The sequence below is a fragment of the Homo sapiens genome, chromosome 15 (genome assembly GCF_000001405.40).
Source record: "Homo sapiens chromosome 15, GRCh38.p14 Primary Assembly".
Classification (NCBI taxonomy): Eukaryota; Metazoa; Chordata; class Mammalia; order Primates; family Hominidae; genus Homo; species Homo sapiens.
This window is the reverse complement of record NC_000015.10, coordinates 58759895-58775133: the sequence shown is the minus strand read 5'-3', so window position 1 is coordinate 58775133 and position 15239 is coordinate 58759895. Positions and strand designations below refer to the sequence as shown.

At 43.0% G+C, this 15239-nt stretch overlaps 1 protein-coding gene, 1 long non-coding RNA gene and 1 pseudogene across 14 annotated transcripts in view, besides 3 other annotated features; 2 read left to right on the top strand and 1 right to left on the bottom strand.

Annotated features, from left to right (window-relative positions):
• MINDY2 (MINDY lysine 48 deubiquitinase 2) overlaps positions 1–3832 on the bottom strand; it is a 90599-nt gene extending 86767 nt beyond the window's left edge. For all 13 annotated transcript variants that reach the window (XM_011521687.3, XM_011521688.3, XM_017022332.3 and 10 more), the window contains exon 1: positions 2899–3832. In XM_011521687.3, the coding sequence (XP_011519989.1) occupies positions 2899–3738 (840 nt within the window). In that variant the 5' untranslated portion in view covers positions 3739–3832. The remainder of the gene's footprint in view (positions 1–2898) is intronic.
• Positions 3878–4157: a silencer, noted in NCBI's record as "silent region_6483". NCBI's record gives its function as "represses an Ori minimal core promoter by ATAC-STARR-seq in GM12878 lymphoblastoid cells {active_cell/tissue: GM12878}" and the evidence as "EXISTENCE:reporter gene assay evidence [ECO:0000049][PMID:35858748]".
• Positions 3878–4895: a biological region, named in NCBI's record as "NANOG-H3K27ac hESC enhancer GRCh37_chr15:59062438-59063363".
• Positions 3970–4895: an enhancer, noted in NCBI's record as "NANOG-H3K27ac hESC enhancer chr15:59062438-59063363 (GRCh37/hg19 assembly coordinates)". NCBI's record gives its function as "activates a minimal SCP1, AML or CMV promoter by ChIP-STARR-seq in naive H9 embryonic stem cells {active_cell/tissue: H9 hESC(naive)}" and the evidence as "EXISTENCE:reporter gene assay evidence [ECO:0000049][PMID:30033119]".
• Positions 4160–7062, top strand: MINDY2-DT (MINDY2 divergent transcript). Its single transcript, NR_135474.1, has 2 exons — positions 4160–4747; positions 6255–7062. It is a non-coding gene; the product is annotated as an MINDY2 divergent transcript (long non-coding RNA).
• Positions 14453–14668, top strand: SNORD3P1 (small nucleolar RNA, C/D box 3 pseudogene 1; annotated as a pseudogene).

The following is a 15239-nucleotide window of genomic DNA, read 5'->3' as shown; positions in this document are numbered from 1 at the left end:
CGGACACTTGTAAGAGAGTAAGAGTGAAAAAGGCAAATAACATCTTAGTATTATCATAAAAATAGCTTTGACTTCTAGTACCCCTGGCTCACTTTGAGAATACTGCTCTACTTTGCTTCGCTTATCCATCTCTTCATCAATGATTACTTATGACTGGTTTTTGTGGGCATCAACAGGCTGGAGAAAAAAAACACTGATAACCACAGATTTACAAAATAATCTCCAAATTCATTAGCATGCTTGCTCATTCACAGTCTGATAAAACCCATCAATTTTATGTCCTGCTATTACCACCATTTCGTTTACCTCCTATGCTGCACACTTCAACCAAGGTTGAAGGTTCCAAGTAGAAGAAACCCTTTTCTGCTTCAGTATCTTTCAATACACTATTCTCTTTGCCCAGAAGGTCTTCTCTCACTCATCCTTTGGATCTAGTTCACAGGTTATCTCTTCTATGAAGTCTTCCCTTGATAATCCCCTCCCCAATTACCGTTTTCTCTGCACTTCCATAGCATATTAGAGCTTCTCACATTGCACTGTAATTATTGTTTATATGTCTGTCATCCCACTAGATAGTCAGCTACACGAGGGCAGATTTGCATCATACTCATCTTTGCATTTCCTTTTTTTTTTTTTTTTTTCTTTTTTTGGGACGGGGTTTCACTCTTGTTGCCCAGGCTGGAGTGCAGTGGCGTGATCTCGGCTAACCGCAACCTCCACCTCCTGGGTTCAAGAGATTCTCCTGCCTCAACCTCCCAAGTAGCTGGGATTACAGGTGCCCACCACCATGCCCGTCTAATTTTTTGTATGTTTAGTAGAGACGGGGTTTCACCATGTTGGCCAGGGTGGTCTCGAACTCCTGACCTCAGGTGATCCACCCGCCTCGGCCTCCCGAAATGCTGGGAATACAGGCGTGAGCCACCGCGCCCGGCCTCATCTTTGCATTTCTAGTACCTCACGCACAGTGGGAACCCAAACACTTGATCATTCACTTGAATCTGTCTGAATTGAATGAGTCAGTTTAATATGCATCTATCCCCAAATACTCCACACCACAGTACTTGCCCTTTCCTCTGAATTTCTGCAGTACTACATAAGAAAAAAGACTAAAGGAAAATAATAGTTATTCCTTCCTACAAAAAAGATTAGGGACTCTGGCCCGTTAGAGCAAGTCTAACTAACTCCCTAGTTGAGGGCCCTTATCAAATGGCTCTTGTTCACCTTTTCAACCTTATTTTTCATTATTCTCCAACATTAGCTTACCACTTCTGTCATGTAATAAACATATAAACACACAATATCCATTCTATTTTCATTCCTTTGGTTTATACTCTTCTCTCCCCTGGGAATTCCATTTCCCTGTTATTCTAAATTCTCTTCCTTAAAAGATCTGTTAAATTGCTCTAATTTGTCTTTAAAACAAACAAACAAACGAAAAAAAAAAAGATTGGTTCAAGACCCATAAATCCCATGAAGTTTTCTAGGACTACGCCATACCAAAGGAAAATGTCCCCTTTTTGAATATCAAATGCATTTCCACAGATTTACCACAGTTTACCTACCACTTGTCTCATATAACTTACTATTTCTTGTTCTTAAACAGTTTCCAGTAAGTTAATGATGCCACCTCAAACAGCTTGACAGCCTTTTAAGGGCAGGTACTGTCTTCACTTAAAACATCTCAGTGCCATTATGCACCAGACAATGGCAAGGTTTCTAATTTTATTTCTTTTCTATCAGTCCTTGCTAGCGACAGGAAGATAAAGGCATGTTTGATAAACACTATTCCCTTTACTTGATTTTCTACCTAAGTGTTTAGAAGAATCCAGGTTATTTTTCTTTTTCTTTTAATATAGGGTCTCACTGTATTGCCCAGGCTGGTCTCAAACTTCTGGGCTCAAGCGATTGTCTTGTGTCAGCCTCCAGAGTAGCTGAGCTTACGGAGTAGCTGGGATTACAGGCGCACACCACCACACCCAGTTTGTTTTGTTTTTTTTTCCTAGGAAACATTGCATCTACAGATATAATTATCAATTTGAAAATAAAATAGGTGCTGTGAGATGCATCTTCTCAGCACCCTAACACTGCAAGCTTAAATGAGACACTTCATTTGACAGGTAACTCGCTCTGAGTCCTCAACATACCTATTTTTAAGGGTCTTTCCCTTTTTTGCTCCTTCACCTTAGACATACCTTTTCTTATTTTAGTTCTTTAGAGTTTTAGCTCCCTTAACACATTCGGATGCATGGTTACTGGTAATAATGCCAAACCATTTAAGGAGAGCCAAAGAAATGAGGCAAGTAAAAATCATGCATAAAATGAAAACAATCTTTGAAAACCAAGAAGTTACGGTAATTGGGTCTCAGACCAATGCTTTTCCTTAAATGGAATTTGTCTAAAGAGCCACATCTTCCCCATCACCATTCTCTTAAGTATCTACACACAAATGGGGCATTAGTTGGAAATCAAACTAAATATAACCATGAAAACTTAGTCCATGATATCACGGATTGATGGTAACTTCTGAAGATTACTTTCTCCAATTCTTCACTTTTTTGCATATGTGATAAGGTCAGTAAGAAAATGTAGGAAATTATAGTTTAAAATAATCATAAGATTTAAGATGCTCTAAGTCCTTCTTGTTTCTAAGTGTATCAACCACAATTGAATGTTGAACTCTTAAACACTACAAGAGAAGACTGAGGTTAGGGGCAATTCTTTTCGATATATGTATAAAGGAATATTCCTTCAACATGGAAGTCTTGGAATGAATTTCATGTAAGAAGGGGACTGATGAATGAGGAAAGAAAGGAAGCCATCACCTGACATGCAGCAGCTCCCTCACCCCGTTTTCCTCCACCCCAAAAGCTGTAGGAAGTAGAAAGCTGCAGAATGTACCTTCCAGGCCAGGAGCAAAACATTGAGGATGGCCAGCAAGGGGCAGGGTCCGTTCTCATTCTGGGTGATGATGGGTGTGTTCTCTTCCTTCCACTGGATCCACTTGATGTGATACACAGATTGTCCCGGGAAGCGTTCCTTGGAGGCCGCCAGCACCTGAGCGGTCTCCTCCCCCTCCTCCTCCTTGCACAGAGGAACAGCCCCGGGCAACACCGCCGCGCCCTCCTCCTCCTCAGGGACCCTGTTCTCCGCTCCCTCCTCACTATTGAACTCGCAGCTACTGGGAAAAGAATGCAGGTTAGAGAACGACTCCAGAGAGTCCAGGCTCGGAGATTCCCCAGGAGGGCTCGGGTCGCTGCAACTGCTGCTGAGGCCGCCGGCGCTGCTGGGCTCTTCGGAGCCGGCGGCGGTCAGTTCTGCTTGGCAGGTGCCGGCGAGATCCGGGCGGGCTCCCGCGTCTCCGGCGGTACCCAACTCATGACCCACTCCGGCCACGGCTGTCTCCGGGGAGGCGGTCACCTTGTACTGCCCTCTCAGAGGCGCCTCGGCGGCAGCAGGACTCTCCAAACCACTGTCCTTCAAGTCCAAACCCGCGGAGGAGCTGCAGGGTCCGGGAACCTCAGGAGAGCCCGCGGGAGAAGCCGAGTCCGGGAGGCTCCTCCTGGCGGCCGCCGCCCCCAGCCCATTCCCGCCGCTGGTCTCCGCCGCCCATACCCCAGGACCATCACCAGCGGCGAGCCTGGTCTCCTGTAGCCCTTCCTGCGAAGAACCTGTCCCTGACGCTGGCCCGGCCGCCACCCCGTGTTCTAGCGGCTGCAGGCTCTCGGGGCTGCTCTCCATACCGGGCCGCCCGCCCCCAGCTCTATGGAGACCGCGGCCACTTCTCCGCAGCCAGCGCCTTGGACGCCATGACAGCTGTATTGGCAGCAACAGCGCCCTGGCGCGGCCTCGGTCAGGCACGTCACCGGGGAGAGTACTAAGAACGCGCGCGGGCGCGCGCTACCGCTCTGTCCGTGCGCTCTGAGCTTGCCTCCGCCTGACTGCGCGCTGAGAGGCGAAGGCGAACCACTCAGCAGCCGCCCACGTGGCCCAGCCCTTTCCGTGCGTCCGACCGAGCTCGCTCTCGGAAGGCCGGGCGTGGAGGGCGTGGCTAGGAGGGCGCGGCCGGGGGGCGCGCCCCCGCGGCTCAGCTCCAGTAGGAAAACATCCTCTCACTATGTGGCCGGAAGTTGAACTCCCGGGCAGCTCCCTTGTGTGCGGCTTCTTTAAAGGGAAGGCAGGAGGCGGACAGCTTGGCTGTGACCCTTTAGCGCTGGGTCGCGTGTGGCCCACCCTCGGCCTGAGGCATTGTTGGGTGGTTGGAGGTGGTTGTAGTATTTGGAAAAGAACTTGTCCCTGAAGGGCTCAGGGGACTTGGTTTCTCAGCTCCTAATATGGAAAATTAAGGCATTTCTTACGAGATGCAGATTTTAAAGCAGGCATATCTACTCGACGGCTTTGGATTACTGCACTGCACAAATTCCAGTCTCTGTCGGTTTTGGCTGAGAAGAGCTGTGCTTCTCACCAGCTACTGGTGAGACATTCGCCCTACAGGAAAGGGTCGGTATGATTGTGGACATTGACATGCGTAGCAAAAGAAAGTGGCTAATTTGCGCCAATAATAATAAATTAGCTTGTATTTGAATTAGCCAAGTCTTTGCGGTTTTGCTAACTTGGCTTCACTTTGCATGGAGTGGGAAGCGCCTGCTTCTGAAAAGGTGACTTTTTTCCTAATTAGAATGGACTCCTCTTAAGGCCATGCAGTTTTCAAAGAAGAAAGACAAGCTGGACGTTTTGTTAGTAACAAAATGTATGTGGGTCCTATTCTAACTTGTTACAGAAAAGGGCTTTTTCCCCCATCTTTTTTCTTTCAACATTTTCTAGGCTGTTGGGGATAAAAAATTAACGAGACAGGTCTTCCTTCGCAGACATATAAATACCTGATACATAATTAGAATGTGATATTTTTGCACCTCTGTTGGTTAGAGAAGGCAGACAAGATTGCAAAGTAGTATTTCATTCATTCCTTTAATACATTTTAGTACCAAGTAAGTTGCTGGATGCTGTCTGTCACTGGAGATGCCATAGTGGATCACGGAGCTTATATCTTCATGGAGCTTACTGTCTTTTTTTTTCTTATTGCTATTTTTTAATACATACTTATATGTTTTTTTGTTTTTGTTTTTGCTTTTGTTTTTTTTTTTTTTTGAAACGGAGTCTCTCTCTGTCGCCCAGGCTGGAGTGCAGTGGCACGATCTTGGCTCACTGCAACCTCCGCCTCCCGGGTTCAAGCGATTCTCCTGCCTCAGCCTCCCGAGTAGCTGGGACTATAGGCGCCCGCCACCATGCCTGGCTAATTTGTTGTTGTTGTTGTTTTTGAGACGGAGTCTTGCTCTGTCGCCCAGGCTGGCGTGCAGTGGCGCGATCTCGGCTCACTGCAAGCTCCGCCTCCCGGGTTCACGCCATTCTCCTGCCTCAGCCTCCTGAGTAGCTGGGACTACAGGCGCCCGCCACCACGCCCAGCTAACTTTTTGTATTTTTAGTAGAGACGGGGTTTCACCGTGTTAGCCAGGATGGTCTTGATCTCCTGACCTCGTGATCTGCCCACCTCGGCCCCCAAAGTGCTAGGATTACAGGCGTGAGCCACCATGCCCGGCCACACATAATATGTATTACATATAATACATGAATGTTGGATACTTATATTCTTGTTTACCTGAGAATGCAGAAGACTGTGCCCCTTTTTTTTTTTTTTTTTTTTTTTTTCCCACTTGAGACGCAGTCTCGCTTTGTCACCCAGGCTATAGTACAGTGGCGCCATCTCAGCTCATTGCAACCTCCACCTCCCGGGTTCAAGTGATTCTCCTGCCTCAGCCTCCCAAGTAGCTGGGACTACAGGCGCACGCCACCAGGTCCAGCTAATTTTTTTTGTATTTTTAGTAAAGACGAGGTTTCACTACCTTGGCCAGGCTGGTCTCTAACTTCTGACCTTGTGATCCGCATTGACATGATACTATGGTATATGTCCAACTGTAGGGTCCAGCCTTACGGGGCTTAGCGGGTGTTCTCCCCGTGTTCAGAGACGAGAGATTGTAATAAATAAAGACACAAGACAGAGAGATAAAGAGAAAACAGCTAGGCCCGGCGGACCGCTACCGTAAAGATGCGGAGACCGGTAGTGGCCCCGAACGGCTGGGCTCGCTGATATTTATTGCATACAAGACAAGGGGGCAGGGTAAGGAGGGTGAATCTTTTAAGTGATTGACAAGATGAAGCAAGTCACGTGATTACAGGATGGCGGGGGCCTTCTCTTTTAGGTAGCTGAAGCAGAGAGAGAAGGCAGCATACGTCAGCATTTTCTTCTCTGCACTTACAAGAAAGATCAAAGACTTTAAGACTTTCACTGTTTCTTCTACCGCTATCTACTACGAGCTTCAAAGAGGAACCAGGAGTATGGGAGGAGCATGAAAGTGGACAAGGAACGTGACCATTGAAGCACAGCACCACAGGGAGGGATTTAGGCCCCAGGACTGCAGGCAGGCCTGGATAATATCCAGCCTTCCACAAGAAGCTGGTGGAGCAGTGTTCCCTGACTCCTCCAAGGAAAGGAGACTCCCTTTCACGGTCTGCTAAGTAACGGGTGCCTTCCCAGACACTGGCGTTACCGCTTGACCAAGGAGCCCTCAAGCGGCCCTTACGCGGGCGTGACCGAAGGCTCACCTCTTGTCTTCTAGGTCACTTCTCACAATGTCCCTTCAGCACCTGACCCTATACCCGCTGGTTATTCCTAGGTTATATTAGTAATGCAACAAAGAGTAATATTAAAAGCTAATGATTAATCATGTTTATAATAATGATTGATAATTGTCCATGATCATCTCTATATCTAATTTGTATTATGACTATTCTTATTCTAACTATTTTCTTTATTATACTGAAACAGTTTGTGCCTTCAGTCTCTTGCCTCGGCACCTAGGTAATCCTCCACCCACATCCTACTCTTGGACAACAGGAAAATTAGAAAAGATAATGGAGAGCTTTTTCAGAATGTTGAATTTAGGAGTTGTGTGTGCTTTTGATCTCCATGTCAATCCATAAACAATAAATCCTGTTCTTAAATTTGAATTTTCTGCCTAAAAAAGAATTGGAGATGTTAATAGATTAAAATATATGCTGCTGGTTTAAGCATTTTACGGTATTTTAGGCCATGAAATATAAATAAGAATAATACAGATTTCAAGGCCGGGCGCAGTGGCTCACGGCCTGTCACCTCAGCACTTTGGGAAGCTGAGGCAGGCAGATCACCTGCAGTCGGGAGTTCAAGACCAGCCTGACCAACATGGAGAAACCCTGTCCCTACTAAAAATACAAAATTAGCTGGGTGTGGTGGCACACGCCCACAATCCCAGCTACTTGGTAGCCTGAGGCAGGAGAATCGCTTGAACCTGGGAGGCAGAGGTTGCAGTGAGCCGAGATTGCGCTATTGCACTTTAGCCTGGGCAGCAAGAGTGTAACTCCATCTCAAAAAAAAAAAAAAAAAGGAATACAGATTTCAGGAAATTTAGAATTTAGCATAGTACCTCAAATGTAAAAAGGAAATGTATAAAGCTGTGTTATATGAATAAATTAAATGAATGAATCATTTATAGGCCTGTGAGCCATAGGAGAGCCAAAAATCATGGCATACACTTCTCAAATAATGGCCCTTCACCATTTTTCAAAACCTTTACTTGGATAAACCTGTACTTGCTGTGGTAGTTTTTATTGGTATGCGTTTCAAATGCTCACATGGCATCATTTAATATTTTTTTTGTAACAAACAGAACCAGTTTTTCTTTTCATGCTGTTGTCAACAATTAAGCCTAGATAAACAGCTGTGAAAATATAGGTAGTTATTTAAGTTCATGAAAAGGTACATAGTTATTTTTTAAGGGAGGTGGGGAGTGGCATCTAGGGAGAATACCAGAAGACAAACTGATATTTTATTCTTATTTTGCGTATATGTATCTTTAGGTAAACTCTGAGGTAAGATTGCTGTTTTTAAGTTAAATAGTACCATCCAAATTTTATTTAATTAAATTAATTTATTTATTTAAGACAGGGTCTCACTCTGTCAACCAGGCTGGAGCACAGTTGCGCAATCATGGCTCACTGAAATCTCAACCTCCCAGGTTCAAGTGAGCCTCCTGCCTCAGCCTCCTGAGTAGCTGGGACTACAGGTGTATATCACCATGCCCTGCTAGTTTTTAAAATTTTTGTAGCATATGTTGCCCAGGCTGGTCTTGAATTCCTGAGTACAAGCAATCCTCCCAACTTGGTCTCTCAAAATGCTGTAATTATAGGCATGAGCCACTGCACCTGGCTGCTATCCAAATTTTAAAAATTATTTTTCAAAGTTTCAGATATAATAGTCTTAAAAGTTAAATAGTTTATATAAAAACGACGCACTTCCCTGTTCTGTCCTTCCAGACCCTTGAGTCCTGTTCTTTATAAACAGCCTCACAGTCTCTTTCAACTCATAGCTGTTTCTTTTTTTTTTTTGAGACACGATCTCACTATGTTGCCCAGACTGGAGTGCTGTGGCTATTCACAGTGGCTGTTGTGGCACACTACAGCCTCTAACTTGGCTCAAGCAATCCTACTGACTCAGCCTCCAGAGTAGCACAAACTATAGGCGCTCACCACCACACCCAGCCTCATAGCTGTTCTTTAGCTCTTTGTACCCTTGCTTCTGAGAAACATGTTTACACTCTGGTTTCTACATTTAACAGTTGTAGGCTGAGTGCTGTGGCTCATGCCTGTAATCCCAACACTTTGGGAGGCCAAGGTGGGAGGATTACTTGAGCCCAGGCGTTCGAGGCTGTAGTGAGCTACGATGGCACCACTCCACTCCAGCCTGGGTAACAGAATAAGATCGTCTAAAAAAACCCAAAACACTGTATTGCATTCACTGGACAGAAAAAAATAATTGTATATATTGTTTATTGATTTATTCCCATGGAAGATGAGGATTTAGTTCTTTCCTTTCATATCATTCTTCCTCCTATTGCTCCAATCTTCCAGTTATTAAACAATTTTTTATTACATACTCAAAGATTAAAGCATTAGAGCTATGTAAGTATTCACCACTAAGTCAGGTATTTTACTGTGATTTATTTTTGTGTTAAACTTTTTGTCTGTCTTGGAATTAACAATTGCCTCAAAGAAAAAAAAGAACAAACAAAAAACAAAAGTAACCCAGTTGCCTCATTATTTTGTTTATTTGCTTAATTCTTCTCTTCCCACTAACTTAGCCACAGAGTTAGCAGTATGATCAATCATACCAAGTTATTCCTTAGGTCCATTTTAATACTGGGTACATCCTTCCTGGAACACTCACTTCTCTTGCTCTGCTCCGGACTTCTCTTTTATAAGCCTGCTACACAGGTGTCATCCTGGGATTTCTCTTGATCACTTTTTGAGGAATCCCTTCTATGTTGATTCCTTTGTTTCTTGGATCTCCTTTTTCTAAAACGATGCATTTTTTTTTTTATAATAGAGATAGGGTCTCCCTCTGTCACCCAGCCTGGAATACAGTGACATGATCGTGGCTCATTGCAGCCTCAAACTCCTGGGCTCATGTGGTCCTCCTGCCTCAGCCTCCCAAGTAGCTAGGATTATAAGCACATGCCACCATACCTGGCTCATTTAAAAAAAAAATTATTTGTAAACATAGGTTCTATGTTGTGCAGCCTTATCTCAAACTCCTGGCCTCAAGTGATCCTCCTGCCTTGGCCTCCCAAAGTGCTGGGAATATAGGTATGTGCTATGACACCCAGCCAAACATATTCTTTTTTATTTTTATTTTATTTTTTATTTTTGTGGGTTGGAGTCTCGCTCTGTCACTAGGCTGGAGTGCAGTGGTGTGATCTCAGCTAACTGCAATCTCTGCTTCCCGGATTCAAGCGATTCTCCTACCTCAGCCTCCCCAGTAGCTGGGACTACAGGCACGTGCCACCATGCCCAGATAATTTTTGTATTTTTAGTATAGATGGGGTTTCACCATGTTGGCCAGGATGGTCTCCATCTCATGACCTTGTGATCTGTCTGCCTTGGCCTCCCAAAGTGCTGGGATTACAGGCGTGAGCCACCACACCTGGCCTTTTTTTTTTTTTGATATGGAATCTAGCTCTGTCGCCCAGGCTAGAGCGCAGTGGTGAGATCTCGGCTCACTGCAACCTCCGCTTCCTGGGTTCAAACAATTTTCTGCCTCAGCCTCCCAAGTAGCTGGGATTATAAGCGCCCACCACCATGTCCAGCTAATTTTTGTATTTTTAGTAGAGATGGAGTTTCATCATCTTGGCCAGGCTGGTCTTGGACTCCTGACCTTGTGATCCACTCACCTTTGCTTCCCGAAGTGCTGGGATTACAGGCATTAGCCACCGCGCCCAGCCCAAGTGTATTCTTAATTAGCTTCCCGAGGAAGAGTGCAAGGGAAGTAAATTTTTGTAGATCTTGTAGGTTTTTACATTTTATAGTTTGGCTGGGTATAAAATCGAAGGTTGGAAATACTTTTTCTTCATTTTAAAGTAATTATTCAATTGTGTTCTAGCTTCCAGGTAATTATAGAGAAGTCTGATGTTACTGTGACTCCAGAAACTTTGTATATAACCTCTTCCTTCTCTCTGAAGTTTATTGATCTTCCCTTATTCTTGATGTTCTGACATTTCAGTATCTGATATATCTTTGTGTGAGTCTTGCTCTGTTTATTGGGCTGGCTACTTGTGTGATCACATTCAGTGTAGAAACTTATGTCCTTCAGTTCTGTGAAATTATCTGGTTTTATTTTATAATTCTTATCTTTTCTCTGATTTTACACTCTTCATCTTTTTCTTCTACTTTACATATTTAATTTCCAATAAATTATTCTAGTTTTTGTTTAATGGCATCCTCACCTTTCATCTTTTAGAATATTGATTATGACTTTTAATATATCCTTTATATTTTTCAAAAGATATCTGAACAATACACTTCAGAAAAGTATACTTAGTGAACATATAGTTAGTGATTGTGCTAGGGAGAGAGATATGGGGGATATGAGTGTAAAACATTGGACTTATTCTTTGGGAGTACAAAGTTCTTTGGGGAATTAAGAAGTATGTTCACATGAAATGATCACTGAGAATAAAACTCACTTTATAATGAACACTAAATGACTAGCACAAACAGTAAATGTTATAAAAGTTCAGATGAAGAAAAAAGTTTTTGTGTGAAACAATGGAGATTTAAGCTATACAGTGCTTGTCTAATTAAAATAACAGGCTGATTATTACCTCAGGCTTAAGAAATCCAAAAAATATATCAAAATGATTATTCTTTTAAAATTCAGTTTTTCTTTTTTCCTTCTTTTTTTTTTTTTTTTTTGAGAGAGAGTTTTGCTCTTACTGCCCAGGCCACAGTGCAATGGCACAATCTCGGCTCACCGCAACCTCTGCCTCCCAGGTTCAAGCAATTCTCCTGCCTCAGCCTCCTGAGTAGCTGGGATTACAGGCAAGCACCACCATGCCTGGCTAATTTTATATTTGTAGTAGAGACGGGGTTTCTCCATGTTGGTCAGGCTGGTCTCGAACTCCCAACTTCAGGTGATCTGCCCACCTCAGCCTCCCAAAGTGCTGGGTTTACAGGTGTGAGCCACCATGCCCAGCCTAAAATTCAGTTTTTCTTAGTTGAATCATAACATTTTTAGCTACAATGACAGAAAATTTGGTGCCATCTTTGATTTTTACGCTAGTTTACTGTTGACTATCTCATCGATAAAGTCTTGCTGATATTGTATACCCCTTTCCTTCATTCTCTTTGGGGCCACTCCCGAGTCCTTATCTCCTTGCCACTAGAGTGTAATAGCATTCTAATTATTCCCCAGCCTATGATCGCTTCCTTATCTTATTCTGCATAAACCTACAAGAGCTATAGTTCAAACATCTTGGCTTTATTATGTTGATGATGCTATGGAAAATAAATTGATTGTTCTTTATTGTCAGCTGCATCAAAATTAGCTCAGACCAGAAGATTGCACAGGTACAGGGTATATATACATTTACTCCTCCTCTTTTAACCTTCTCTTCAAGATATGTGAGAAAATTCTGAGTTAAAAATCAAAGGTTTCCATGTAACTCAAATTGCCCTGGCTCTGGCCTTCAATTGCTTGCAGAAACTCCAGCCTCCTGCAAAGAACATCCCCAACTCAATTATTTCTGAGAGCCCCCATGGGGAGTCCCACACCTGTTTAGAAACAAGTCCAATCCTGTGATATTCCACCAGGTGCTGCCTCTACTCCATGCTGTTTTACCAGATGCCCATCTGTCCTGGTAATGTTAAAAATACATGATGGTGAATGGAGGGAAATATTTTTCTCTTCCCTCTTATTATAGCCCTAATGTGCGACAGTATTAATGAAACAGTTCTCTCAGTTTTACTTATGTAGTCCTTTATGTAGTCCTTTTTAAAAGTGAGACTGAAATGTGATTCCAGGTAGGTTGCACCAGAAATGAATTTAAGAAATATATGGCATCTTCAACTTAGAATCCCTACTTCCCTAGTCTTATGGCCAATGGTTAAAGTTTTGTCATTGAATCACATGTATTATGCCTGCCTCATTCTTTCCTTAGAACTTTTCTCAGAAGTACTTCTGCCCTGCCAGCCCACCAGTTTGCCAGATATCTGTTAACTCTAGTTCTCAAAGTGTGGTTTTTGGGTTGGTAGTGTCAGTATTACCTAGGAACTTGTTAAAAATGAAAATTCTTGAGCCCTGCTGCAGACCTACAGAATCAGGAGCTGTGTGTTTTCACAAGACCTCTTGGTGATTCTGATCTTTGATGAAGTTTGAGAATTACTACTCTAGCATTAGGGGAAGCAACCCCTTCTCACTTGCATGACAAATAAATAAACCTTAGCAAGAGACAGCAAGAGGCTTCTAAATTCACCCTCTATTCACTATTATTTTTCATTACTATGCAATGCTCTTTTGGCCATGCTTTTCTATACACTTTCCCTTGAGGGGTGTGTGTGTGTGTGTGTGTGTGTGTGTGTGTGTGTGTGTGTAGGTAGGTAGATATATTTTCGAAGTAATGTCTAAGACTATATTTATCATCCTGATGTCAAATTTTTTTTGGTTCTTGTCTGTCTCATGTTTTTTTTCATATTAATATCATTCTCTCAGTCAAGTGGTTCTGTTTGATTTTTCTCACATTCAAGAAGTCCTATTTTGAAATTTATTTATTTATTTATTTATTTATTTATTTTGAGATAAGGTTTCACTCTTTCGCCCAGGCTGGAGTGCAGTGGCACAATCATAGCTCACTACAGCCTTGAACTCCTGGGTGAAGCAATCCTCTCACCTCAGCCTCCTGAGTAGCTAGGACTATAAGCATGTACTACCTCACTTGGCTAAAGAGAATGGGATCTTGCTATGTTTCCCAGGCTGGTCTCAAACTCCTGGCCTCAAATGATCCTCCCCCTTCAGCCTCCTAAAGTGTTGGGATTACACCACGCCTGGCCTAATTTTGCTTTCTCAAAACAAAACCTAAACATACCCATTTTTTAGAAAAACTAGTAAACCACTCTTTTCTTCAAAAGCTGCTATTAAATCAATGGTGTATCTTACAATTGAGGGTATCTTAGAATTGAGGAAATATATCCTCTTTTCTACTATTTTTATATGTTGACACTGACTTTCCAGAAGTACCTGGTCTTTTATTTTCACTATATCTCTTACTGTGTTTGTTTAAAACAGTGGTTGTCAAACTTTAGTGTAATTAACTCTCATGTGGGAAGTCTATTAAAATGGGTTTCTGGGCTCTATCCCCAGGAACTCCATTCATCAGAACTGGAGAAAAGCTCAGTAATCTGCAGGTTTTTTTTTTTTTTTTGAGATGGGGTCTCACTGTGTTGCCCAGGCTGGAGTGCAATGGTGCTATCAGGGCTCACTGCAGTCTTGACCTCCTGAATTTAAGTGATTCTCCCTCCTCAGCCTCCAGAGTAGCTGAGACCACAGGGGTGCGCCACCACACCTAATTTTTAAATTATCTGTAGAGATGAGTTCTCTCTGTATTGCCCAGGCTGGGGACTCTGTGGTTTTGATAAGCATCCTAAGTAACTCTAATGCAGGTATTTCACTAGCTATACATTGAGGAACACTGACCTAGAATGATATCAGTCAAAAACTACTTGCATTGTTGAGAAGTATAGTTGTCAATTGTTAATATGCATACAGTAAGAATTCTGACCCATTTGGTTTATAATCACAATAATGAACCTCCATAATTTTCACTGACTATCTAGATGTGGTGCTTTGGGGCACAAAAGAGAATATGAAGCATGGTCACATGGAGGCAACCCAATGTAACCGAAAGTGTGATGAATGGAGACCACAAGAACCTGGTCCTGCCACTGACTAATTTTACAAGCTTGGGTAAAATTAAATTCGTAAATTAACCTCTCTTCAGTTTTCACATTTTGTAAAAGAAAAAAAAAAAGGAAGACTATACTTTCAGGGATCATTTGTATAGTTCGTTACTAGAGAATTTTCTCTGAATGTGTAGAACACCAGAAACCACAAGGAGGAGGCGCAGCGTTCTCTCCTGAGCGTGAAGCCGGGTCCTGGTGTTGCTTCACTGCAACTGCCATTTGCCATTGATGATTGTTCTTCTCTTCCTTTGGGAGAGTAAGAGGCAAAGGATGCAGTCTGAATGGTTCCTATTAAAAAAACAAACAAAGAAACAAAAACCAGGAGGAAAATAGCTTGGTTAATTTTGCTGTGTGGTACTGTGAAGAAATGGAACTTATAATAAAGAGTTTATAAATTATAAAGATATTTTCAAATATATTATTATTGCCACTGCCCTCAAGTTGGTCACAATGTGGTTAGGAAGACAAAACGTAAGTGTCTACAAGTAAAATAAAAATATGACCCCTATAGACATTGCTTAAGGGGTAGTATGAAGTGCTTCTCAGTAAGATGATAATTAACCAAATCAACAGAATGAATCAGCTTAGCTATTTTTTTTTTTTAGATGGAGTGTCACTCTTATTGCCTAGGCTGGAGTGCAGTGGCACGAACTCGGCTCACTGCAACCTCCGCCCCCCGGGTTCAAGCAATTCTCCTGCCTCAGCCTCCCAAGTAGCTGGGACCACAGGCACCTGCCACTATACTCGGCTAATTTTTTTTTTTTTTTCTGAGAAAGAGTTTCACTTTGTTGCCCAGGCTGGAGTTCAGTGGCATGGTCTCGGCTCACTGCAACCTCTGCCTACCGAGTTCAAGCAAT